This window comes from Homo sapiens, chromosome 7 (genome assembly GCF_000001405.40).
Source record: "Homo sapiens chromosome 7, GRCh38.p14 Primary Assembly".
Lineage (NCBI taxonomy): Eukaryota > Metazoa > Chordata > Mammalia > Primates > Hominidae > Homo > Homo sapiens.
This window is the reverse complement of record NC_000007.14, coordinates 34,044,707-34,071,621: the sequence shown is the minus strand read 5'-3', so window position 1 is coordinate 34,071,621 and position 26,915 is coordinate 34,044,707. Positions and strand designations below refer to the sequence as shown.

Genomic DNA, 26,915 nt, shown 5'->3' with positions numbered 1-26,915 from the left:
AACATCTTCTTCCCTACTTAAACCAGAAGTTTTTATTTATCAATTGAGAGAACTGTATATCTAAGCTAAAGAGATGGGTTTCACAACTCCAAGTTAACCTGGCTTCCAGCTTTAAAGCCTCCTTGGAGCTTGGCAGTCATTGAGCATATTATTGCTTTGAAGAGTCTTGTGTTTGAATCCTGATTTTGCCACTTAAGGCTTATAAAATCATGCACAAACTACCTACATAACCTCAATTTGTTTGCCTATAACATGACTCTAAGAACAATTACCTTGCCGGGTGATTATAAAGATAGCATTGCAAAGCTGCCTAGAACATAAGAGATACTCAGAGTAGTCATTATTCATTTGCTTATTATAAATGTTATGCAAGTCTAGCAAATAGTTATCTAGTGCTGGCTAAAATGGGGTTGAGTAAGACTGTAATGAACTTAGAAAGTATAGATTTGTTGAAAAGACAATGTAAATTGAGGTAGTCTATAAAAGACATAAAATACAGATTTGGGGCTAGAATGAAGTAAGCCTTCTAGGCCAAAAGAAGAATGTAAATAAAGTCATGGACATAGATAAGAGGGCAGCTTATACAAGAAGAGCAGGAGGCCAATCGCACCAGAGTGCAGAGCTGCTTCGGGAGATACAAGACACCCAAGTTGTCTAAATAAATTGGCCTGAGATTTACTGCCAGCCTGAGAAGTTTAAATGTATTCCAAACAACCAGCATTTCTTGATGTGTTTCCTGTGAAACATCAATCCTGCCTGTTGCTCTGCCAAAATAAGTAGAAATTAAAAAAAAAAAAAAAAAAAAGCTCTGCCGCTCAAATTAGTTTGGGAGGCACTCTATACTCCAACCTCTTTCACCATGCACGTCAGCATATTAAGGGCTCTGAGAATTCTGCAGTAAGAAAACACATTTAAGTTTACTTGACCCAGCATTTCCTGAGTGTATTTAATCACAGAACCTTGTTTTGAAAATATTACTCATCATTATCCCTCAGCACTAGTGTTTTATAAAACAAACTCTGGGAAACCGCAAGGGAAGGAAGCTGGTGTAGGTTTCTGTGAAAGCTAAGTTTGGGTTCTGACAGGGGTGTGCAAAAAGGGGTGAAGGAGAAGAGAGATGGAGATTACATGCAAGCAATAGGATGAGTGTCCGGCTGCCATGGGAATGGCAAGGAAAGTATTTATTTGAAAAACATCACAAAAAGACAATCAAGCAAACCTGATGATTGATTAGCAACATGGGGGAGAAATGCCAAAAGTATGAGAAATAACATTAAGGCTCAAATCTTGTGCAGCTGGGATATGGGGGTGCCAGAATTCAGTCAACAAACAGGGATTGGAAACAGCCATTAGCCCCTCCATCCAACTCCCAGCTCAAATAATTGGGGGAATCAAAGGTAGAAACTATTAACAAAATTCAAATGCAATACTTTGAAAGAACATGTTCTCCAAGAAGCTGAGATCTACTACATTAGCATCTTGTTAAGAAGTGATATGTTAAGGACCTCAAAGCTTAAACAAATCTGAAACCAGAGTGAGAAAGTACAGAAAGGGCACCATGAAAGTGGAGCTGTGGGTTTACAAGATGAAAAAGCAAAAAGTAAAACAACAGATACTTGCACTAAAGAAGGATATGGAAAGTCAGAGAAGAGGGGTGTAGCAATGAATGAGGGCAGAGAGTACTAACGCGGAAGGGAACAGAGATAAGAAGAAAGAATGACAGCATTCATGAATATGAATTTCACATCAAAGGGCCATGCAAAGCACAGCTAATGAGTCATCTCTCCATACTCCCAGCAAAGGTTACAACTGAAGTATTGTAACCTAAGAGACTGAAGAGGTTAAAGTGACCTCATAAATGTAGGTACATTTTTAAAAAGTAAGTAAATACAACTGCTTGTAAGTAGAAGCCACTAGTCATGTATAAAAGAAAGTAACTGGCAAACCTCATATCTGTTTGGAAGTGAACCTCCAAAATGAATACAAATGTAGTCAATAGAGAACAGAGAATAGTGCATAAAAGTTTGGGCTTTGGAGTCTCGTAGGCCAGTGTATTAGCTGACCACAAACTATTTAATTTCTTTCACCCTCAGGCTAATGACAGCTTCTAATTCATAGGAACATGGTAAGGATTAAATGGCAAAATGGAGAGCATTTATCACAATACCTGACTGATATGGACTAATGTTCAATAAGTCGCTGTTAGTTATAGGAGCAATTGCAGAGGCAGCAGAAGTAGCAATTTTTGTTGCTTTTATTTTGCTCATAGGAGATGTGACCTCCAAAGAGGAATAAATCTGCCTCAGCTCTGCATATAGTAATGTATAATTAGTTATACAGTACTTCCCACCAAGTGTATTTTTTAAGTTTCACAGCTTGGGGTTTCTATTGTTCATTTGTTTTGTCGTTTAGCTGTATTTTAGGTGTATCATTACCAAGGAGTTTCCGTCACACATACCCTCAGTCAAAACTGGATACTTGCAATTTTCCTGAGATTCAACATGGCAGCCTTGGCTACATTGTACCAGATGTCTAATAATGAATTCGCATATCTTTTTCTATATAAAATGCATTCTTTTGAAATTAAGCAAGAAACTAGCTTTTAATTGAACTATGTCATAATGCTACACCTATATTAAAAATAGCTTTCCCAAGCAAAAATCCAGGGAGGCCTGTAGAATGAATACTGGATTAGGAGATTTTTAAAAATATGCAAGTCCTCATCCCAGCTCATTCAGTTAGTACTGCTGTGAGTCTCAGTTTCCTCACCTGTGAAGTGAGAGGTCTAACCTCATATTAAGGTCCCTTCACTTACAAATTTCCTGATGCTAAAATGGTGATGAGCTCCAAAGGCAGGGCAACTCTGCTCTTACCCATTCCTGGTGGAAATTATATACAGAGTTATTTCAAGTTCAAAACTATGTGTACTTAAAAAGAAAATTTGGGGAGATCTTCACTTGACCCCAGTAACTTGAATTACCACGAGAAAAAAAAACTGGAAAAACTAGTAGACATGGAAAACAAACAAAATGGAAAACCAAGCCAGTTTGTCAGTGAGCTCAGAGCATACCAACCACCACTTCTCTGTACTTGAGCAGAAAGACGGAGATGCCACAGTAGAAGAAAGCCTGGGGACTTGAGTCTCCATTTCCAACCAGGTGTGGTTGGAGGGACAACACTGTTAATTGGAAATTCCTCTTAAGGTCCTTCGCCAGTCTCCAATGCTTACAAGTTGTAAAGCCCTCCAGACCTTCTCTTCCCCTTCTTAACTTCAACTGGTTATCAAACTGTACAAAATGACAAGGAAGCTAAGGGAAGTAATTCCAGACCAAGCTTTCGGGCCAGCTACCTGGTTGGAATTCAGGCTCCACAACTATCTTGAGCGTCCTTCTTAACCTCTAAGCCTCAGTTCCCTCAACTGTAAAATGGAGCTAACAGCACTATTTGACCACAAGACGGCTGTGATAATCAAATGAAACCAAATGAGACTGCCCAAGATAGTGTTTAGAGACGGCAGATGCCAAATAAATATTAGCTGCTGCTGCTGCTGGTGGGTACTACTGTTGTTATTATTGCTATTATTGTTATCTGTGGATGATGATGGTGGTGATTGTTAATTCATCAAATAATCACTTATCAAGGACTTACTGAGTACTAACACCCTGTGGGAATTGACAATAGGTGGTAGAGAAAAGGTGATTCCTAATAACTTCAGTCTCCTTCAACTCTGTACTAATTTACAGCAAGAAAAATTAAAGTAACAGTATCCCTTAGAGCAGAACAGCATATAAAACAGAAGACAGACTGATTTCCTCATGCTCCTTCCAGCGTGGCTTCTACCGGTGTGGGATCTCCCAGCCACCATGTGTGGTACAGTGGGTTTTATTTGCCACCCCTGTCTGCTGTTTGGGCCTGAGGAACAGTGTCAAGCCCGACTCCAGATGCTGGAGCAGAAACTTCAGTGGCCACTTAGGTTAACACCTCCTTGGCAGGGCTAAAGTCAACACCACAAATTCTTATTCTACAAGCATCTTGAGCTCTGGTTTCGAATTTCCTTGCTTTCCTGAGTTAAGGACAGACTCTCGGTGTTAAGGGACCTGGAGTTGCTTACAGCCCTGGAGGCCAGAAACCTTGCTCAAACACAGAATCACTAATTTGCAGAACCTCTGTCAGTGGAGATTTCTCATAAAATGGGCCCCTAGGTTGCTGTTTCATTATGGTTTTTTTTCTAGGGAAATAAATGAAATTGTTATTATAGTCTCCCCCTCCTACAGCCATTCTGTTAATTGGAGCTACCTGTACGCATCCCAGAGGGCTTACATCAGATGTGCCAAAACGAGTGGCTGTGGTGGGTGTAGGCAGCAGGCAGGGCTCCTAGGAGAGCAGGCACACCAATGCAGCCTGCACACAGCTGGAAACCAACCCTGGGGGGTTTAAAAAGTCACCTGGCAACTGTGAGCCTCCTCTCACCATGAGCTGCTGAAATTTGATATTTCCTGTTACTTCTGGGACATGTAGTTGAGGTTATTTCAATTAAATGCACATCTGTGCTCGGCATATTCAATCAGCCTCAGTGTTATGTAATCGTGAACTTGTGTTTTAAGCTGGGATTCTGATGGTTAGGTCTGATGTAGCTACAGGTACAGCTTAATGAACCACCAGGGACTGGGCATGCACGTCTGGGCTGCCTTTGTCTCTGCTTTTGTGGATGGCTGAGAGATTAATTTTCTCATATACTCAATCTGTCAATCTCAGTCTCTCTCTCTCTCTGCCCCTCCCTCCATCCCTCTCTCCCTTTCTTTCTCTATACACATCTCACATGCACCTTTCTTATTAGTGACAACTTTGACCCTATGTATTATTTCCATGTTAGAAAACAGATATCCTGCCAGCAAAGAATTTATCTGATTCAGGTCTCTGTTGGGTGGTTAGGTCAAGATTCCACCTGCTATTTGCCAACACACAGTAAAACAACATTTTGCATAAACAAAATGCTACACACAAAACAGGCAAGTGGCCTCCCTGGCACCTACCCTGTGCTCATGTGTGCCCAGCCGAGGCAAGTCCAGATTGGCTTAAGGCTAGAGTCTCACACTTTGGCAAGAAACAGCATTTGCAAGAAAGCTTTATGAAGTTTGTGTAGCCCACTTCAAATATTTTGTTTTAAATAAATCATCAAAATCAAATCTAATTCTTTTCAGTTGGAAAGGGAGAAAGAGAGCCTGTTCCATGTTATGAAAAGACAGCAATGCTTTTCATACTTCCCTCAGGTCTGATTTTAAGAGGACTTTTGTTCTCCTATTTTGAGAGAATCATCATTGCTCCTTCAGGCCAACCCTACAAAAACTGTCTTACTGTGGGGAGGACAACGGCATTGTGCCTCCTCTATTATTTCTTACCTACAAAATTGTAAATTACCATTACTGCTGACTGTTGTAAGGAGAGGCCCATAAGAATGTTCTATAGATGCACTTCAAGTTTCCTCTTCGTTACTCCTTTCAGAGATCTGAGACAGCCCCCAAACACTACCAAGATTAAGACTAACCCAGGCAATAAGGGAGAAATTCTGTGGGATTTTAGAAACAGACAATGTAATGCCACTACTGCTGGAAATAATGCAACACTTATTTAACTACCACAGGTAACCAAAATAAATTGGAGAGTATGTGAAGCTCTGTAATCAATCCATTTAATTGACGTATGCATGTATGTGTGCATGGAGGTATTCTTGCCTCCTTTCAGAGAAGGGCTGGAAGTAGCTTACAGACATAAAAAGTAAATAGCTGAAAACACGTAAGAGTGGACATATATGATGAAGTCAGGAGTAAGCTTATTACTCAAAACCTGCATGCTTTTAGAGGTGGAGTACAAATTTATTTTTAGCTTCCTAGCAACAAAAGCAAAGATAGCAACTTTTTTTAATCATTCAAGATATAATTACGCCTTCATAATTTTTTGCAGGGTTAGAGAATTAAAATACAGAAACATATTCAATTAAACTCAGAGGCTTCCAGTCTCACTTTACTCTCCTACTGCATCTAATCCACAGGTGCCAAGGGTCAGTTATGGCTACTAGTATCACAGGTGCTCATGTCTGCATTCACCCATGCTGTTTCCTCTATTTGGAATGCCTGTGGCACCCAATGAGGGGTAACTGTGCTCCCCAGGGGACATTTGGCAGTATCTGGAGATATTTTTGATTGTCACAACCTTGCAGGGGATGCTACTGGCATTTAGTGGTTAGAGGCCAGGGATGCTGTTAAAGATCTTGCAATGCACAGGACAGCCCCACGACAGGATGATCTGGCCAAACTCTCAGTAAGACTGAGGTTGAAAACTCCGCAGTAACATCATGGGGAGAGAGAGAGAGAGGGAGAGAGAGAGAGAGAGAGAGAGAGAGAGAGAGAGAGAGAGAGAGTGAGTGTGTATGTGTGTGTGTGTCCGAGAGAGAGGGAGAGAGTGTATGTGTTTTAATAAGATATAAATTAGTTGTTTTTCTGGCTTTAGAAAACACTAGACTTTTTTGTAGTTTCATCCTTGCTTTCTCTACTCTAGAAATCTGTATATTAAGAGAGCTTTCATAATTTACAAAGGAGGAAAAAATGTGCCCAAAGGTTTGTTCTGAATCCTGAATATAATGACAAAGAAATTTCAAAGTAGGAGGTCTCGAAGCCACAGCTAAAGGACATCAGAATAAATCTACCTGAATGTGTTAAGAAAAACTGGGCATTGCTTAAAAATTGGAAGTCATCCCATCTCTTAACTCAATCTGAACAAATAAGCCTCGCCAAATAGAATGCATTTTACAGCAATGATGGAAGAACTGCTGGAGAGCAGGAGAGAGTAAACAGATGGAAAGAACACCAAAGGAAATTGAGAAATAGCCATCTGATGATATAATTGAGACTTGGACAGAGAACCACATGCCTGGGCCCTTCCAGCACTGACTGACCTGCTCCGCGCAGGTGCAGAGTCACTGTCCTCCCAGTGCCCCTCCAGCTGGGTGGCCTTCTCCCTTGCCAATTGCCTCTCTCAGTGATAGAAGGCATGAGCTCATTCACATGGTTAACACAATATGGTACTTAATATAACCAGTTTAAAGCTTGCTTCTATTTTATAATACCTTTCCTTCCATTTGTATTCTTTTCTTTTTCTTTACGATGTCACCAGTTTTCTAGATATGGAAAGTCCAGCTCATAATGAATAAACTGATAATATAATGTAGATTTTTCTCAACTATCTCAATAATCACCTATTTGATCCTTGCAAAATAAAGTCAGATAATTCAAGATTTAGACTGCTTCTTACAAGATTGGTAATTTTTTTTTTTTTTGACAGAGTCTTGCTCTGTTGTCTAAGCTGGAGTGCAGTGGCATGATCTTGGTTCACTGCAACCTCTGCCTCCCAAGTTCAAGCTATTCTTGTGCCTCAGCCTCCCAAGTAGCTGGGATTTCAGGCACACACCACCACGCCCAGCTAATTTTTGTATTTTTAGTAGAAATGGGGTTTTACCTTGTTGGTCAGGCTGGTCTCAAACTCCTGCCCTCAAGTGATCTGCCCTCCTCGGCCTCCCGATTACAGGCATGGGATTACAGGCATAAGGCACTGCGCCTGGCTGGTCATATGTTTTTATGAAGCTGGTAAGCAGTGATCCTGCCTGACAACAATGTGATTGGCAGAGGTAATGAGTCTGTGCTCATGCAAATTGAAAGAGTTAACTGGAAAATAAGAGGCATTCCTATGAGGTCTGTCTCTGCTTCAACTGGAAGACACTTTATGAGGAAATGCAAACATCTCCATTGACATGGATACAGAGGAAAACTTCATCAGTGTAGACTCTATTCTGCTCATCCAGAAGGGAATTAACTGGAAGGCAGCCTCTGAACCATCCATAAACAAAGTTTCCTCAGGGTTTCTGGAAGGATGATTAAATGTATTAGATTGTACACGTGTTTTTAAATCAACTGGTGTGTTAATCATAGCTAATTTGTCTTCCTGCATTATTCTCTACTAAGTCGTACTTCATTGGCCTCCTTTGAGTTATTTTATGTACTTCATTATCTTTAAAGTAAACCTTTTTTATTAAATCTATAATTAAATTTTCATTAATTCAACCAGCATTTTTTCCAATATGTAACTGTTTAATAGCTCTCTGCTTCTAAAAATAGCAACATATATAGTAGATAAATATTATATTTAATAGTTTTATATAAATACACACACACACACACACACACACACATATAGTGACCCTGCATATCTATTGTCCAAAGGCACTAATCAATTAAAAAAATAACAGAGTCTAGTAATTCTAGTAATATCAACTCTATTTTAGAGAATTGGAAAGAACAAACCTGTGCCCATGTGAAAGCTGCTTTCAGCTGTCTTCCAGACCACTTCTCTAAACATAACTGGCTCAGAAAACACACTGATAGACTTTATGACTTTGTTAATCCTACTTATCATACATGGGAACTAATTTGACAGTGACATTACTAATACTCCTCTTTCAATAAAACACTCCAGGAAGCTATCTCAAAACCATATGAATTTCAGGAGGACTAAAATGGCAGTTTGCTAATAGATCTAGGCATGTGTCTACATGTGGGAATGATATGAAGCTATTGCTATGCTCTGTCTGTATGATCAGTAGTACAGTCTCAGACAGTTTTCAGAATAGGCCATGCTTAGAAGGAACTTTCAAGAATACAGTTAAAAATAGTCATGAATCACACAACAACATTTTGGTCAATGATGGACCACATATAGGACTGTGGTCCCATAGGAATATAATACTGCATTTTTACTATACCTTTTCTACTTAGATACACAAATACCATGTATTACAATTGCCTACAGTATTCAGTACAGCGACACGCTGTACAAATTTGTAGCCTAGAAGCCACAGGCTATACCATATAGGCTAGGTGTGCAGTAGGTTATACCATCTAGGTTTGTGTAAGTGCACTCTATGATATTCACACAACAACAAAATCACCTAAGGATGCATTTCTCAGAAGGCATTTCACATCCTGTTAAGTGACCCATGACTATAATAGGATGGCAAAACCATCAGCCCGATGACTTCTTGTTTTCTCTTTGCCAACAGCAAGACTGGATGCACCCAGGTGACATGGTGATGAGGTGGGGGTGGGGTGAGGGAGCAGGAAGTGCAGCTGTTTGGCTTTATAATGGGAGAAGGAAAGCCCCTCCTAGACTTTGTATAATGTTTGGTTTTACGGATAGCATTATCTTAACCGCGATGACTACAAATGCTATTAGCAGTTAAAATGCACATTAAGTTATCTGGTCCTTTTTAAAACCTAATCAAACCATTTATCTTCTTAATTTCTCATAGCAACAAATTCTGATGGAAGTATCTATATTTGTCTCCATTGTACTTCTGTGGGAGAATTACAATTGACTTAAAGTGACTGTAGGGAGGTGAGATGATCCCATCCTATATATACCTACAAAAATAAAATGTGTGGGAAACATACACCCCTATTTTTCTTGTTGCACTATAAAATGCAAAACAAATACTAATAGCACATTTTCAAAGGAATAAACTTACTTTCAGTGCAAATAGGACAGCATCCTTTTCTGTTGAGAATTTTGCCCTAATCAGAAGAAAAACAAATACAAAGTTACTGTTTAAAAAAAAAAAAAAACAGGGTCTCCTGAGGACAAATATCTTTTTAAAATCTAATACAAGATAAACCAATGAAATCAGTCCAAGCTGTATTTGAACTCAATGCCCAGATGGTGATGAAGATGGTGAAAATGAAGTTTCAAGTATCAGGTTCTAAGGCCAGGCAAAGTCATTCAGCAAGCTTTCCTGTTTTTATCCTCCAAGAAATATAATACCTAAAGGGCTCACTAGTGTGATTTTTCTCACATGGAAGGAAGATGAAGACAGTCTGGACTCAACCTTTTCATTGATACCCAAATCTAGCCCTTTAGAGACCAAGGGCACACACATAAAAATGAGAATTATCTGTCAACCTAGCGAACCCTACAAGACCTTCTTTCTGTCTTTGCTTGTTGGAGAAGCTTAAACAATAAACTGTAATCCAAGCTCAGGAATCATCAGCACTATGGATATGGGCAATATCTGTGCTACAGATCAAATTCAGTCAGATTTCTTGTTTCAGAAAATGGTATGTTATCCATGTTGAATCACTGTTATGCACTCAAAGCCAAGGAAGCTGAGAATTTTGAAACACTGAGTAATGCTTCATTACCTTTCTGGAAATACACTGCAATTTCCTACATTGCACAACTTTTGAGTTTTTTAATGCATGACATTTAAAGGAGGTGACGTATTCTCAGGACTCATATCAGAAAATCAGTTGTCTTATCTCTGACTCAGTGGTTAATCAAAGAGAAAAAGAAATGTAGAAGAAGTTTAACATTTAGGGAGCACTTGCTATATAACAAATATCTTATTCGATATTTTACTTATGTGATAACATTGGGTTAGTGATAAGGATTTAATACTTATGACCTATTAAGATTTAATGAACATTAGAGATTTTATAATCACTGTTATTAAGATGCACAAGAACCTTATGAGCTGAGTATTTCCCTTTTTATAGGTGAAGAAATTGAGGTCATGCAACACAAGAGTAGTAGAACCAAAAATCAAACCTAATTTTGTCTGACCCTAAAGGACATTTTCTTCCCACTGCAGTTTTGTCCTCTTGAGTCCTTTCTCTTGAATATAATTTAATATTTATTATCTGCTATACACTAGACTGAGTGCTATGCATTCCTCATACTTTATCATTTAAATTTCACAATAACCCTCCACATGCAGTTGTCCTTATCCCCTGTTTACAGGGAACTAAGGAAACAGAGACCATGGAGAGGTTGCCAAGGCTCATGTCAAAGCCACATGGCTCACACACTGCTCATTCACTCACTCACTACTGGTCATTTCCATCAAGAGTAGGCTTAAGTACTCAAAAAGAAAGAATCAGATTGACTTAAAGGATTCTGGTTAATTATTGAAGATCTTTAATCAGGTCTGATTTGTTTTTGCATCAGCTAGGCCTAAATGATACATTAAAGGCTTTGACAACTTTGAGTGAGACTTAAAACTCAGCCCCAGCCAGTCATCCCATAGTGTGGGGGCATCACAACATATTTTCATTGCCTAGAGCTCTGCTGTCAATTGCAATTTGGCACAGGGGTCTCTTTTGGTTTCTCAAGACTGAAAGCAGTTGCAGATGAAGCCAAATGAGGTCAGCTCAGGCCCAGGGAATGACGGCCCCAAGAGGATTAAGGTGCTTTATCCCAATGCAGCAGAGCCACCTTAAAGCCAAGACTCCAAACAAATGTGACTACGATTCCCTACATCCACATCTCGGTGGAAACTTCCATCTCTCGTCTTCAGAAAATGAAAGTGGCAGTGATGATATCACTAAATTAGATGGGGGAATAAATCAGGTACAAGCTGTAAAGTCAGAGCACCTGTGTAATATGCAATTAGCCGTAAGACTCTGGTCATGCTGCAGGCTCTTCCATAAGCAGGGTCTAGAAATACCACCCACCTCAGAGGGGTGATGTTAGCATTAAATGAGATTAGTGTTGTCACTATAAAATCTCAGTACGTATTAGAGATGGAGAGATGACAGTGTCCTGATGACCCAGTCCCCACTTCAGCCCTCATAGCCCTTCTCACAAATGGCACTCCTTTGCCTCTGGGGGAGTTGCAGGATGGGGGAGGAGAGGCAGGATTGACAAGGAATCCAATCATAAAACCCTTCTTCCACAAGAAACATTTACATCTGGAAAAAGAGAATATGCAGTAGCCAGGAAAGACAGAGCAGGGAATACAAGCTCCTCCTCTCTATCTCTTTTTTTTTTTTTTTTCCAAAATTTCCCCAGGCAATGTAGGGGAGGGGAAGTAAGTTTTTAACAAGATTTCCATGGTAGATAGAGCTGAGTTATCTTCCAAAGACCTCCTGCTGGCCCCCGAGAAGGGAAAGTGTGAACTGGAGGAGTGGTTGGAAGGAAGCCTAGAAACAGAAAGGTGGCCCCTGAGGCCGGGGCCTTGGCAGGGGCACCAACAAGCTTTGACAAGGCGTGGAGGGGGTGGGTGGGGCAGGGAAAGGCCTCTGCTTGGAGGAATGGATGCCCCTGGCCCAAATGTGGTCCACAATGATGAAAGGCTAATGAGACACCAGTGACATAAAGAACGTTGACCTCCCCCCACCATCCCCTCCCCCAGCAAGAGCACAATGAAAACTATCAATCCAGCTACAAGTGGCAGAATTCAAGTGAAGCTGGAAACTCCACGGCGGCCTGCTGAGGCTAGTTACTTGAGCCACCAGGTTGGCACAGCATCCTGTTTTTGTCTTGTAGAATAAGGAAGCCCATTATTACTAACATGTGCTGCAAGAGTTCATTAGCAGCGAGGGTTCCCGGAGGACTGGCATAATGATGTGATCCCATTTTTCCCAATGAATATTTATAAGCAGACCATGTTCAAGTCTACTTATTGTATCTTCTTTTTTTTTCTTTTATGGGAGGCTTTCAGTTTTATGTCTGAGGCTTTTTAAAGCAAGACTAATTAGGGTTTTTTTTTTTCTTTTTTTCCTCTCCTCTTTATTCAGTTGTGCAATAGCAACAGCTGTTGTTTTTTGTGCCTCATTTGGCAGTCAAGTAAAAACAGCAACTTTTGTTTATAATAATAACAGATGTGAATAAAATTAAAAGCTGTCTATAACAGAGAAGGGAGGACATGTCCTGAATATATGGATATATTTTTTCATTCACGGGAAGGTGTTGAATAGGTTTGACACCTTCCCAAAATGTATAAAACTTTAAAAGGTTTCAAGTTGCTGAGGTGAATTCAATGAACCTCATGCTTTAGAAGATAATGGTTGCTTTATTCAGTGTGCTGGAGCTATGAGTTTTTGAAAAGAGATATTTCCATAAGGATGCTATTTCCATTTGGGGCTACAATGGAGGCCAGGATTAGAGAGAGAAAACTTCAGCAAAGAAATCGGGGATGCCGTGAGGCAGGAGAAACCCCTTGGGGAAGTATTAATAAATAAACCACATATTACTTTGAATGGCTATAAGAGGAAAGCTCTGATTTGAGAAGGGAGAGAAAAGAGGAAAAGGCAAAAGACAGTTACGATGTTAAACAAAACCTGGCAAAAGAAAACAAAGAAAGAGATCTTGCAGGAGTTGGAGAAATTTTACAGAATGAATGGGAGATGTCAATAAGAAATCAGAATTGGGACAAGAGCAAAGCAGAGCTATTTTCATGCAAGGAAAAAATCTGCAAGAAGAATGAGCAAACTTTGCAAGAGGCATTTGACTAGTCAGGAATGTAGAGGCTTTGGGGGAGCTGGAGTCTGTGTTCGGAAGATGGCATGCGACTGTGCCACACACAGGACATTTCTCAAGACGCTAAGGTAAAGTCAATCTGTGTTCCAAACATACCTGTGGGCAGCTACTGATGGGAATGCACTGCTTATTGCGACACTCCGTCCTGCCTTTCACACAAGCACAGATGGTACAATTGATAGAGGACCACATCTCTCCATCCTACAAGAGAGGGCACAGGATCCTGTCAGCAGCTGGAGGCTGACAGGAGTTGAGGCAACAGACTGTAACCTCTCCATGGAGGAAAGCATTTCTTGCCCTGAGTGAGGGACGCCATCATTAGACTAAATGACTCAGGTGTCTGTCTACATCCAACTGATTTAAGATAAAGATTAGTGAAGATTTCAGATTGTGTGCAAGCATGTGTGTGTGTGTGTGTGTGTGTGTGTTCCCCCTCCTGGATATAAAAATAATTATTGTGTGTTTAACCAAGTCATATTTATGTCTTGTTGTCATGCATTGTTTACTTAGTTCCACCCTGGGGGAAAACCAAGCATGAATTTTCATACATGATACAATGACAGAAATCTAATTTTCCCGTTTGATAAGACTAAAATATTTAAGCTGTCCCAAGCACCAATAGTTAATTGAGATGTCCAGAGGTGGTTAATTACCAGATGTGCCATGGTTCTGGCCCATACAGGACATGCATAGAAGACAGGCTAATTCAAATGACTCCCAGTGCTCAGACAGACACTTGATGGGCAAGCCACTGAAAATGCAGAGCTCAGAGAGAAGACTCCAAGTGCCATGGATATCCTGTCCCTGCCTATCTAGTCCTCTCCTCTTAAAATGCAGGGCAGCATTTTGGGACACATTTCCTAGACTAGATCCTTGCTCAGACAGAAAGAGCTATTTGAGGAATTTCTTTCACTCATGAAAGGTATAATCTGTGAATGCCAAATACCACAAAAAGCCCTTGTACCTCTGGAGGACAGGCAGGGATGTGCATCCTTGCTTGTGGGTAAAAAAGATCACAGACAACAGAGTTGGGCTGAAAACAAAACAAGGATTCCTTCCTGAGCTTGCAGATCCAAGCAGCAGATTTTTGTTAAAAACAGAAACAGTTGAGATATTTGATGACTCCCCTGCCTCTTTCCCTTCCTGACTTTTTGAAGCTATTTTAAGGACTGTCTACCCTCTAGTGCCTTTCAAGAAAGACCTAACTGAATCTGCCTTAAAGGACACCTGACTGTTCCAAGTTCTCTGAGTACACATTTCTAGGAATCCAAGTCTCCGTGAATTATTTTAAGCCTCAGTCATTTAAAGGAACCGTTTTTACAAGGTGACTTACAAGTGTATTGCAGCCGGGCGCGGTGGCTCACGCCTGTAATCCCAGCACTTTGGGAGGCCACGGAGGGTGGACGACAAGGTCGGGAGTTCGAGATCAGCCTGACCAACATGGCAATATCCCATCTCTACTAAAAATACAAAAATTAGCCAGGCATGGTGGCATGCACCTGTAATCCCAGCTACTCAGGAGTCTGAGGCAGGAGAATCACTTGAACCCGGGAGGTGGAGGTTGCAGTGATCCAAGATCACACCACTGCACTCCAGCCTGGGCGACAGAGCGAGACTCCATCTAAAAAAAAAAAAAAAAAAAAGTGCATTGCACACAGCACCATGGTGAGAGTGAGAGTGAGGCTATTTCATCTGGGTGTTCTGGAGACAGAGGAGGAGGCGACTTTATATCAAGAGGACATATGAGCATCTCTGAAAGTCTGATGTAAACACAACACACATGCCTCCCCCTTCACTGGGCATGACACCTTATGTGTTTTTTTGTCCTCAGTTGTTTTCTCTTTTTTAATTTTTTTTATTTTATTTTTAGTTCTGGGGTACATGTGCAGGATGTGCATGTTTGTTACATAGGTAAACGTGTGCCATAGTGGTTTACTCCACCTATCAACCCATCACCTAGTTATTAAGCCCAGCATGCATTAGCCATCCTTTCTAATACTCTCCCTCCCTCCACCCTACCCCCCAACAGGCCCTAGTGTGTGTTGTTCCTCTCCCATGTCCACATGATCCCATCATTTGGCTCCCACTTATAAGTGAGACCATGCGACACTTCATGTCTTCTTACTATTCCATCAGAACCAAGACCTCTCCCTCCAACTACTTCAGTGTGATAGGAAGTGTGGCTCAGTGCAGCATGCCTGCAGAGCTACCACAACTGACTTGTTTATGTGGGTCTTGATTCTCATGGGTATCATGAGGTGACAGCTTCGGTAGAGAGTGATTTGACTCCTTCCACCCCTAGGGAAAATGGACTAGATAGGAGGTACTTTGGACAAAGCCAACCATCTTGCATTTTGAAGTTTAAATGGCCATTGCACTGTTTCCCACTTGGGGTCCTCAGAGAATAATGTAAAATACACCTGAGATTGGTAACAGATGGCCAAAAGACAACCTTTTCCATTCAGCTGGGCAGAGCTCTCTCACCTGGCTCAACTACATACACTATTAACATCCTTATCTGAATATCTTCCAAATGAGAAAATTTTTCTTTGCAAAGGTAGCTTTGTGAAAAACTTCTAAAAGCTTCAAGCTGTATAGATCCATCAGGATCTTGACAAGGATCATCACCTTGACAAATGTCATTGAGCATCTCCAACGAGATGAGGTACTCCTAGGTATTCAGGCAGGTTTTACAGGCTTAACATATTTCAGCAAAAATATAGTCAAGAAAAACATCTTTCAGACGGTTGATTCTCTGCCCCTATCTGCACTTGATTCTAACTATAAATGTATATATAATACTGTAATATAAATACATTCTATTAATATATGCACACATATACATTTGTATATGTATATAGAAATTATGGGATAACCCAATCTGCCTAGTGTCTGGAGCTTTTTAATTGTCAGCGTAGTAATACAGGAGTTCCCATGTGCTTGTCTCATGACATACCTGGAAAATCTTGTTGCCAAATTTGCATACTTTGATGTCTTCTGGGGGCACTCGTAGGAGGCACTCTTCACAACAGCCCTCCTGGCCTTGGTCACAGCCACCAGGGTGGGAGCACTTCCTCTTGCAAACCACAGTAGAGTCCTGGGGGCCCAAAGGCAAAATAGAAATTAAAAATGATTTTCGCCTCTACCAAACATCCTACCTGGCCTTCCTTTCATAACTCATAACTATCTGTGTCAAAGTCTGTAAGGTACCCTATTTTAATTTATTGCAATAAATCTTTCATTCACTTCAAATTGTGATTTGTTGATTAAGTATCTAGACTAGAATATCAGGGCACTGTGGAAACTATGGCACGTAACCCCTACCTCCCAAGGATTTATGATTTCACGTTCCAGAGACTGATGAGCCCACTCCACCAGCATGTGGCAAGACCGCCCAGCTCCCCACGAACCACCAGTTTCCTTCTTCCTGCCCTCTACCTCTTTGCAACCTGCACTAATAGTGCTCTCTTGGGTCTCCTCCACGGCTTTATGCCACCTTTTGGAACTTAACGTAAAGGCATGATATCTTTGGTCAGAGGGTAAAAGTTAAGAGCAAAGGCACCACCTCAGGACAAGATTCCTCAAGTGTGTTCTGTGCTCACCAAGGGACTGAACCAACAGTTTCAAAACTGGACCTGGGTTCCAGAGCTCTAATGTAGTGGAGTGACTTTGACCAGGCCACTTACCCACTGAAGGTGAAGAGTTTGTATCATCTGTAAGTTAAAGAAGTGTGATTTGATTTCAAAAAAAAGTGCTCTTCTGCCTATTGTTTCTCAGGTTTACTGTGCCTCTTAAATGTAAAATACCTGGCACATAGAAATTATTATAAACCAACTTCAATTGGAAAAAAAAATCCTTTGTCAAACTGCATATCTTGATTTCTTGTTTAAAAACAAGGGCACTCCCTAGCTCTCAAACAATGCATATTTCACCGTAGATCTCCCTGCTTTCATTGTGTATGTGTGTGTATGTGTGTGTGGAGAGAGAGAGCGTGCTTTATGTACATATCATTAGACTGTGGTGCCTAGCACTATGTTAAGCAATGAGAATACAAATACAGAGATGGATAAATGTACTTCTGTCCTCAAGGAGTTCTTCGCAATGTAAGAAGGGAGGTAAATGTGTAATCAAGCAAATTGCAATTATAATGTGGTAAACAGAACTAGCAAAGGTGTAAAGATAGCAAAGACAAGGGAAAGTTACCTATCCAGGTAAGTCAGGAAAGCCTCTCAGGTTGAATGACACCTGAGATAGGCTGTTGTGGATGAAGAAGCATCTGCTAATCAAATTTAAAGATGGTAATAACATTGCTGGTAGATAAATTGTCCAATTTGAAGGCACAGAGATCTGAAACCATCCTGCATGCAGAAAACTACAATTGACACTTGAGCAACATGGATTTGAACTGCATGGGTCCACTTACACTCAGAAATTTTTTCAATAGAAGTTACATCAAGTGTGCCTGCCTTTCCTGCCTCCCCTTCCACTTCCTCTGCCTCTTCTACCCCTGAGACAAGACCAACCCCTCCTCCTCTTCGGCTTACTCAATGTAAAGAAGATGAAGAGCTTTATGATAATCAACTTCCACTTATTAAATAGTGAATATATTTTCTCTTCCTTATGATTTTTTAAATAACATTTTCTTTTCTCTAGCTTACTTCATTATAAGAATACAGTATGTAATACATAGAACATACAAAATATGTGTTAATTGACTGTTTATATGATTGGTAAGGCTTTCAGTCAACAGTAGGCTATTAGTTAAGTCTATAAGGAGTCAAAAATTAGACATGGATTTTCAACGGTACAGGGAATCAATGCCCCGGCACCCACACTGTCGAAGAGCCAACTGTATTAAATCACATTCAACAGGTTCCTGCACCTGCCATGGAAATCATAAGAAACACTGGATGGGGATGCTAGAAAGGGAAGCTCAAAGCAGACAGAAAATAATACTGATTACTCAAAATGATTGCAGCTTGATTTTTCAAGCATTTAATATCCCCAAGATGACTGTGAATTCATACTCTAGTAAAACACCCTTTTGGAGGAAGAGTATTAATTATACTTCCTGCTACGCACAGAGACGTATTACCTAATCATCTCTCAAGGAACCCATGAACCCAAAGCACGGCAAGCATAACTAAATCCCATTCATGGGATGCCAGGCTTTCCTGTGAGCAAGAGAATTGGGAGTGTGATATGTTTCATCAAAGGCTCAGTATCCCCAAGAGGAAGCTATCTCCTGCGAAATTCTTAGTGGAGAGGAAAAGTCCTGAGGATGAAGGCCAAGGCAAGAAGCGGGTGCTATACATTTAGCATAGGATAACACAAACCATGGGAGGAGGAAAAAGCTTCGGTAAAGTATTCTCAGGCTTAGGAATTACTCCATGTTTGGTGTTCAAGGGAACGGACAGTTCAGCCCTTAACCAACCACCCGCTGAAGTGGTGCATGCTACTGAACAAAGCATGTAATCAAGAACTACTGAGCTCTAATCCCAGCTATTGACTCATAGCTGATATTGAGTAGAGCTCCCCTCTTTCCCTCTCCCGACCTTTAACTATTAAAAACAAACAACAACAACCATCACCACCAAAGTGTATTCTAAACTTGTCAGACAGATGTGATTCATTAACTCACTAATGAATAATCCTAAAGTCCTCCCTGATAAATGTATTTCTTCTTGGTTTCCAAAATAAATTACTGCATAAGTACAGTCTATGAATGTGTGATGTGTGTCCCTTTAAAATTCTGAAGCTGTGGAATTCTTTCTTTAGCAGTAATTAGACTTCTGGTTGCCTTTTGAGAAAAATGAGCAAAGCTTCAAATAAGACATGATACAATAAACAGCACATAAATACTCTCTTCCTAAACTGCCAGGTTTATCTTTGTGATGAACTGTAAATCCATGCCTTTCTCTTCTCTTGAATGTGATTAAAAGCAATTTTTATTGCCAGGTGTGTTAGAGAATTCATCTTGGATAATTAGAGCCAGAGGGCACAGCCGTATGTATTTGTCTGATTTTAGAAAATCCTCAGAACAGGCCCTTGGAGCCTGATTCTCACTACAAGGAGCTAACTTCTTGGTCCTTAGAAGATGATTGAGCTATAGTGTGGGTCCTATGTGTAAGTCCTTGGTGACCTTGAGTATGATTTTCCTTGTAAAATGGCATTGTTAATGCTTCCTCCCAATAAATAACACACCATTGGCTTTGGCTATGGCTGTGATGTTAACACTGAAACCCAAACCCTATCATTGCTGGACCACAGCCTCTCAGAGCTGCCTTACCCTGCAGGTACAAGCTGTGCAGTTATCGTACAGAAATGAGGATCCATTGTCATAAACATCACTTCGAAAGAGGCAGCTCCCAAAAGGGAGGTCAAACACTTTCCTCTGACCTAGAGAGAAACAGAAGCACAGTGTAAGTAAGACAGAATCGGGGATGTCCCATTTTGTCATCGGTGATTCCATCATAGGTCCATTATACATTCTTATAAGACCACGTAAGTCTGGAGCACAAAAATAGAGTCTTGGGTCAGACATGCCTAAAGGATCCCCAGGAGTCATTAGTTGGGATAAAGTTTGTTAAAAAAGAGTTTGATTCCACAATGAAGCTTGTAAGTTCAACAAATCTATAATGTGTTCATCACAGTGAACCAAAATCACTAAGACATGAGCTCCCCTCATGGAGCTCACAGTCTAGTGAAAGGGCAAACTCATCAAAGGCTGTTTCAATACAACAGTAAGGTAAGTTCTGGAAAAAAGACGATCTAGAAACTGTGGGAATTGGGAGGTCAGAGAAGAATTCTTGGAAGATATAATGCCTGAGGAGCTTCTTAAAGAATGAGTAAAATTATCTAAAAATTGGGTATGGGCAGTGGGGGAGGTGGGTGGAGGTAGGAGGAATCAGCATATCTCAAGAAGGTCTCGAATGAGCAAAAGGAGCTAATGAAATATTGTTTGCTATGGTTTGAACATTTGTGTCTCCACAAAATTCATATGGTAAATTCTAATCACCAATGTAATGGTATTAGGAGGTGGGGCTTTTGAAAGGTGATTAGGTCAGGAGAGCAAAGCTCTCATGACTTAGATTAGTGCCCTTATAAAAGAGGCTCCAGAGAGAACCCTCACCACGACGTGACAACAAAGTAAGAAGACACCAACTATGAGCCAAACAGCAAATCTGCTAGCACCTTGTTCTTGGACTTCCCAGCCTCCAAGATGAGAAATAAATTTCTGTTGTTTACAAGCTACAGAGTTTATAGTATTTTATTAGAGTAGACTAAACAGACTAAGATAGCATTTCAGTTATGAAATTACATAAAGGAATAAAGGGTGAAGCTAACTCAAAGGGCACGCAGAGGTACATGTCGAGTGTCCAGCCTTTCATAGGCATAGTATCTCTGTAGAACTGGCTTGGTTTTCCCTAATGTGAGAACCAGATTGGTGAACAAAAGGACCAAAACAGCAATCCCAAATAAAGAGTACAATCTAATTTCCTCCTTTCTTTTAATAATTGAGTTTCTACTCTTTGAAGCACATTAAAACATCTCTGCAATGTTACTTTAATTAAAGACTAAGTTAATTCATGTTCACTGATCAAATTTCTATTCGTACCACTCTTTCTTCTTGTAAAAGATTAATAGCAATTTCTGTTTATCAGTAGGCCCAATGAAATGCTCAAAATACCTAAACATACTAAACACTGTTCTCAGAATTAGAGTTGTTGGAATAACTGTTAGTAGGAGTCAAGAAAAACATGCTGTCTTCCTATCATAGCCAACCTCAAGGCCAGGATACAATATAGATGCAGAACTAAATCATTAGTTTGGTTCTCACCACCAAGAGCAAACTTGTTGGCCCTCAAAAGGTGGAAGTGAGTTATAATTTGGATCTTACATATGGACTCCCTCGTGACCACTGAGTATGATTTCTCCAGGCCTCACTGACTTCACTCATAAAATGGCATCATCAATACCACATTGCCATGTCACTACCTCTAACTATGGTGTTAATATTAAAGCATACAACCAAAAACTCTTTCATGACTAGGCATGATTTAGCATGATGATTGTTAATTCCCCAACTAACGCAGGTATTATGTGCACACCCAGGTCTTAAGTCTCTTGAACTTCCTAAGAACTGACATACTAAATTAAAGGATTATCTGCAAAATAAAAAAATTCATTCTTTCCCTAAATATTCCCCTAAGAAACCCAAATAGGTTTACCCTGAGGCATCAGAAAGCTGTGCACAGCCTGGATCACATAGATTTTGCCCATCCCATTATAATCACTTCTGTCTAATTGCACCTTAGTTTTAGGACATTATAATAAGAAATATGAATGAGCAGTTATTTTTTGTATTTACTATAAAAATGATGGTGAAGTCATTTTTCACTGCTTTAAATATTATCTTCCTCTTAATCAGTCCATCAGAGATATATTTCTGTCCTTTAATAATCTAAAATATCTCTGCTTCAGTTGAGTAATTTTTTTTAATTGTGATAATCTGGTTTGCCTTTTTACTATCCTTTATCTACATGTGCTTCATGTATTTTGTAAGTGGTCTTAAATCCTTGTTGGCAAAAGGCAGAAGATAAATGAATAGATAGATACAGAGCTCTGTGTAGAAGCTTCATCCTCCACCAATCAAAATGCACCTTCTTCATGACTGAGCTCCACATTGTTTCTGCAGAGGCCCTTCTACCGCTTAGAGTTAATGACCCCTTTCTGCATTCCCATAGCCTGTTGCCTATACTACCATTATAGCGGGCAATATTGTTCCACAGGTGGAGGAATGGCTGGATGGGTCTATTGATCAATTGATTTATTGACTGATTGACAAACAGACTCTTCAATGTGCTTATCCCCCTGAACAAATGTGACCAATCGCTTAAACTCTTCCTCACTAAAATGAAAATTTTACCTAAAATTGTGAATATAAAGCTCTTGGAGCAGTGCCTGATATTCATTACACATCCTCAATAAATGGCAGATGGTATGTATTATGATTATTAGAGGTGATATAATTCAAATATGAACCTGGGCTGTGTCAATTAGAGTGCACTGGGTGCTGCTCTGTGTACACTGACCTGTGCTGAGACTCTCCATTGAGAATGAGGAAAACAAGGAAAGGAATGTTGTAATGCAAAAGGCAGAGGTATATCATGTGAATGAACCCTGCCCAAGGGAAAATTTAAGAGCAAAACAGCACCCAATCATCTAAAGTCTAATTAGACTAAGATTTCAGCATCTAGAAAGCATCCCAGTGTTTGTTTGCTTTTTTGTCTCTGTTTCTTGCTGTGTGGGGATGTTTGTTTTTACCCTCAAAGAGCATAAAATCTTAACCTTAATCCCAAAGTCATCATGGTCCAACATAAGATAAAACATTCGAGGGAGTGGTTCAGAGACTTTGTGTACAGCCTGACTTAAGACATTTCCATGTCATTCCATGGGGGTCTAGCCCAACCAAAAAAGAGATTTTCAAGTTTCTTAAAACTTATTGTTCCTTTTGTAGTATGCCTTATAACCATAAATGAACAGAAAAACCTGCATTCAATACAGTAGCTGTTGCTCATATGGGAAGCTTCTGAGTTGACTCAGCGTATCCACAGTACCAGCTTCAAAGCATGAATCAAGCTTACTTATCTTTGGAGCCAGACCCAAATGTCACCTCCTTTGCAATGGCTTTCCTGCTTAAGTGGCCACTGCTTCCACCATGGCCCACAGCATGATGATTTGTGCCACACTGAACTGGCTAACCCTATCCCAGGGACACTGACACACACTGGCAACCCAAACAGAACACACAGAAGTGAAAATGTCTTTAATCAGGCATGTCTAAGCAATTCTGCTTTGTTCTTCTGTTTCACATTTACTTTAAACATGTGTGTGTGTGTACGTGTGTGTAGCAGGTGTATGTGTGTTTGTGTGTGTGTAGCAGGAAGGCAAGCATTGTTAGATGAAGTTAGCAGAAGAAGCCATCAAAGAGGAGAAAGCTCCTAGTTTTAAAAAATACCTTTATTTGTCAACTTGGTCATAAAAAAATAGACTTCATGGTATGGCTGTGCTAATTTGGGAACGAGAAAAATAAATCAACAGGTTGTTTCAGAGTTGAAGACAGTAAACTCTGAAAGAAAGGAGAGAGGATTCAAGAAAAAGGCGTGGGCATTAACGGACAGGAGGCTGGAGCTCAAATAGAAGGGACAATCAGTAAAATTCTCACAAAGGCAAAACAACTAAGACCTTTTAAGAACGAGAGCGCTTAATATCCCATTTTATTTTGTTCAATATGCTTCTGTGTAAAATAATCACTCTTATTGACTGCAAACCCTCAGCGAAATCTGCTCTCCATCACAGGATGTAAACAGACTTAAGGGGAGATGCCTCTAAAAGGACAAAATGATAGAAAGAGAAAGAAAGCAAGAAAGTAGGAAAGTGAGGAAGAAAGGAAGGAAGGAAGGAAGGAAAGAAAATCAAGAGAAATAGCAGGAGCAGAAACACCAAGCCAGAGGCGATTAGGGAAAATATTAGCCCCTCAAGGATCCCTGGAGATTCTAAGGAGGTTGCTGGAGTTTCTATTGTATTTGCATGGTGGCTCAAGCCACCATACTTATTTGAAACTTAATAGTCTGACCTCAACTTGCTCAAGAGCCCAGGAATCATTAAGAAGGTATCATAGGCTGGGCATGGTGGCTCACGCCTGTAATCCCAGCACTTTGGGAGGCTGAGGTGGGTGGATCACAAGGTCAGGAGATCGAGACCATCCAGGCCAACATGATGAAACACTGTCTCTACTAAAAATACAAAAATTAGCTGGGTGTGGTGGCACGTGCCTGTAGTCCCAGCTACTTGGGAGGCTGAAGCACAAGAATCACTTGAACCCAGGAGGTGGAGGTTGCAGCGAGCCAAGATCACACCACTGTACCCAGCCTGGCAACAGAGCAAGACTCCGTCTCAAAAAAATAAAAAAATAAAAAAACAAAAAAGAAGAAGAAGAAGAAGGTAGCATATAAGCAAAAGCCAAAGAACCTCATGCTCTAGAAAATACCCATCATGAGTTGTCCCCTTTCAGCTGGCAACATGCATGCAGCCCTCTTGTGACACCAGGGAAGGTGAGCTGCAGCAGGTTAGAGCTGGGCTCAGGAATCACACAGATTTGTGGTCGGATATCAAATCCACAACCCACTCGCTGGGCTGCCATCAAGGAATCTACTTCCTTTTCAGTATAATAAAATTAATAATAGCACCTTCATTACACATAGGAATTATATACTTAGTACCTACATTTCACAGCTTCTTAAGAAGATAAAATGAGAAAAAAAAAAAAATAAAGTGCCTAGCATGGTGCCTAATACCTATTAAATGTTCAATAAGAAAGAGAACATACTCTCTTTCTGTTGGCTATTATTCACTATTTCCTTCCAAAACTCTCATTTTCTTGCATGTGTTTCTTCCTGCATGGTTTTGACTCTGAAAGTAACACTAGTCTATATTCCTCTATGGGTTTACTTCAAATACCTTTAAAATATGTTCCTGTTAATAGGCATATGCCCTATTAAAGATAGTTTCTTTGATACTTTCTCACCACAAGGGAGAATTACCCCAGGTCATCTGGTGTACCCAGTTACAGATGCAAGTGAGGACAAGAGAGAAGCCTCCCTGGAGGTCTCCGTTAAGAAGCAAACCCTGTACACACCTTCCACTTCTGTAATTAGAAGAGGGAGTTGTCTCTAACAAGCCACGAAATAGGACAACTTGAGAATCTCAAAACAACAACGTGGATAAACACTCCCAGCAGAAACTTTGAGAAGAAATTACATTGTTCTTTGACCTGAAAATAGTAACTCACCCAAACATTTGGGGCAGCACTGTCCTGGGGGTATGTGACTAAGGTGCTGGGGACAGGAGAGAATGGGACAGACTTCTCTCACACATTGTGTCCTGCCTCCCTAAGAAAAGAGAGAAAAAAAAAGCATATTTAGAAAAGTAAGTGCATGTAGATTGTACAACCAAGATATCTAGAACAAACCTAAGGCCCTTCCATAGTATTAGGTCCCTAGACTGACTGCTCAGGCCCATGTGATTTTCCCCAAGCGTCCTTTGATCTTCCCTGTAGGCCATACAAATTGCAGCTGCAAAAAGACTGCCTTTGAGGAGGTGATTCCAGCATCACCTCCTCTCACCCATCACCACTTTTCTTTATCTTTTTGCATCTCAAAACCACCTTTACAGTAGGTATAGGATGATCAAAACTCTCTCTGTTTGCTTGGGATTGGAAACTTTGAGTACTAAAACCAGGAAAGTTTCATGCAAACCAGGATGAGTGGACCATCCTAATAGGTCACTGCCTTCTCTTTCTATCCTGCCAAGCAAGCAAAGGAACGCTTTGGCATTTTGAGACTTTTCCTCCTATCTTCCAGTCACCCATCTTTCTATAGGTTCTGTAGACATCTTCCTCCAGGAAGGCTTCGGTATCTGCCACAGCTGGAAGGTGCTGCTAAAATGGCTCAAGGAGGTTCCAGGTAGATGAAGTGGCCAACCTGCTGAAAATGGATACACTGAAAGCCCATATTCAGAAGAACTATTTCACTGAATTCACCACGCTATCCAAATCTGTTTTCACTAATTAATTATAAGATTATAAAGATTGATATGAGACGAACTGGCAGAGTCTCAGAAACCTATTTGGAGAAGTTATGGAGTCTCTGAATATTTTCCCTGCCCCCTCATTCTCATTCTTGACCCTTTCTGTTCTCCAGCACTCCATACCTCCAACATCCACTGCCCTCCTGGTTTAACCTCAGCATCCCCTCTTCCCTGCCTAAGGATATAGTCTGACGACTTCCCCTCCTATCCCTCACCAGAGGTGCCTGCTTCCCCAGCCCCAGTTAAGTTGTAACTTCATATTCAGAAAGCTGGGGTAGAAATAAAAAGGTTTTCCAGTTGATTTACGTCCAACGGGCAAAGCTGATGTGAAAACTATCCTATGCAATAGAAATTGTTATGAAAATTTATAAATAATTGAGGTTTTCTTTTCTTTTCTTTCTTAAGAAAATCAGTGAATTTGGTAAATAGATCACTCAGCAAGTGGAATTTCAATGAATTCGCTTCTCTGGGATTTGAGCTAGAAACCAAACTAGTACCCGCAGGTTGCTTGTCTTGAGTGCATAATTTATATCTCAAGAGGCCTCAGGAAATGAGAAACTCACAGCTCAAAGAGCTGTGGACCCCACAAGGGAAAGATTCCATCTGATGCATTTCCTCACACCTTCCCCACTCCTTTCTGGCCATAGCAGAGTTAGCCTCAGCCACCAGGGGCCTGTCCGTTCCCATCCCAGCACACTGTGGCCGCCTGTTGTTTCTGTTTTCCCTTCCTGTTCTCGCCATTTTTATTATAACAGTTTATTTTCTGGTGGGGATGGATGAAAAGGGGAGGGCATGTTATATGTCTTTTAAAATATTTGCTATTTTTTTTCACCTCTTTAATGTTGGATTCTTCCCCCAAACCAATAGAGAACATGCGAAAATACCAGAAAAAGCTCTTCTGT

The 26,915-nt window shown here is 40.5% G+C and overlaps 1 protein-coding gene across 4 annotated transcripts in view, besides 2 other annotated features; it reads right to left on the bottom strand.

The window, feature by feature from the left end:
• BMPER (BMP binding endothelial regulator) overlaps positions 1-26,915 on the bottom strand; it is a 251,513-nt gene that overhangs the window by 84,806 nt on the left and 139,792 nt on the right. For 3 of the 4 annotated variants that reach the window (NM_133468.5, NM_001365308.1, NM_001410872.1), the window contains 5 exons: positions 25,217-25,316; positions 19,652-19,761; positions 16,319-16,459; positions 13,459-13,563; positions 9,575-9,620 (listed from right to left, as the gene is read on the bottom strand). In NM_133468.5, coding sequence (NP_597725.1) covers positions 9,575-9,620; positions 13,459-13,563; positions 16,319-16,459; positions 19,652-19,761; positions 25,217-25,316 — 502 coding nt within the window. The remainder of the gene's footprint in view (positions 1-9,574; positions 9,621-13,458; positions 13,564-16,318; positions 16,460-19,651; positions 19,762-25,216; positions 25,317-26,915) is intronic. The other variant, XM_047419939.1, reaches the window with a different exon arrangement.
• Positions 11,223-13,272: an enhancer, noted in NCBI's record as "VISTA enhancer hs1336". NCBI's record gives its function as "enhancer in: neural tube[4/6] | forebrain[6/6]" and the evidence as "EXISTENCE:transgenic organism evidence [ECO:0001131][PMID:17130149]".
• Positions 11,656-12,564: an enhancer, noted in NCBI's record as "OCT4-NANOG hESC enhancer chr7:34098670-34099578 (GRCh37/hg19 assembly coordinates)". NCBI's record gives its function as "activates a minimal SCP1, AML or CMV promoter by ChIP-STARR-seq in primed H9 embryonic stem cells {active_cell/tissue: H9 hESC(primed)}" and the evidence as "EXISTENCE:reporter gene assay evidence [ECO:0000049][PMID:30033119]".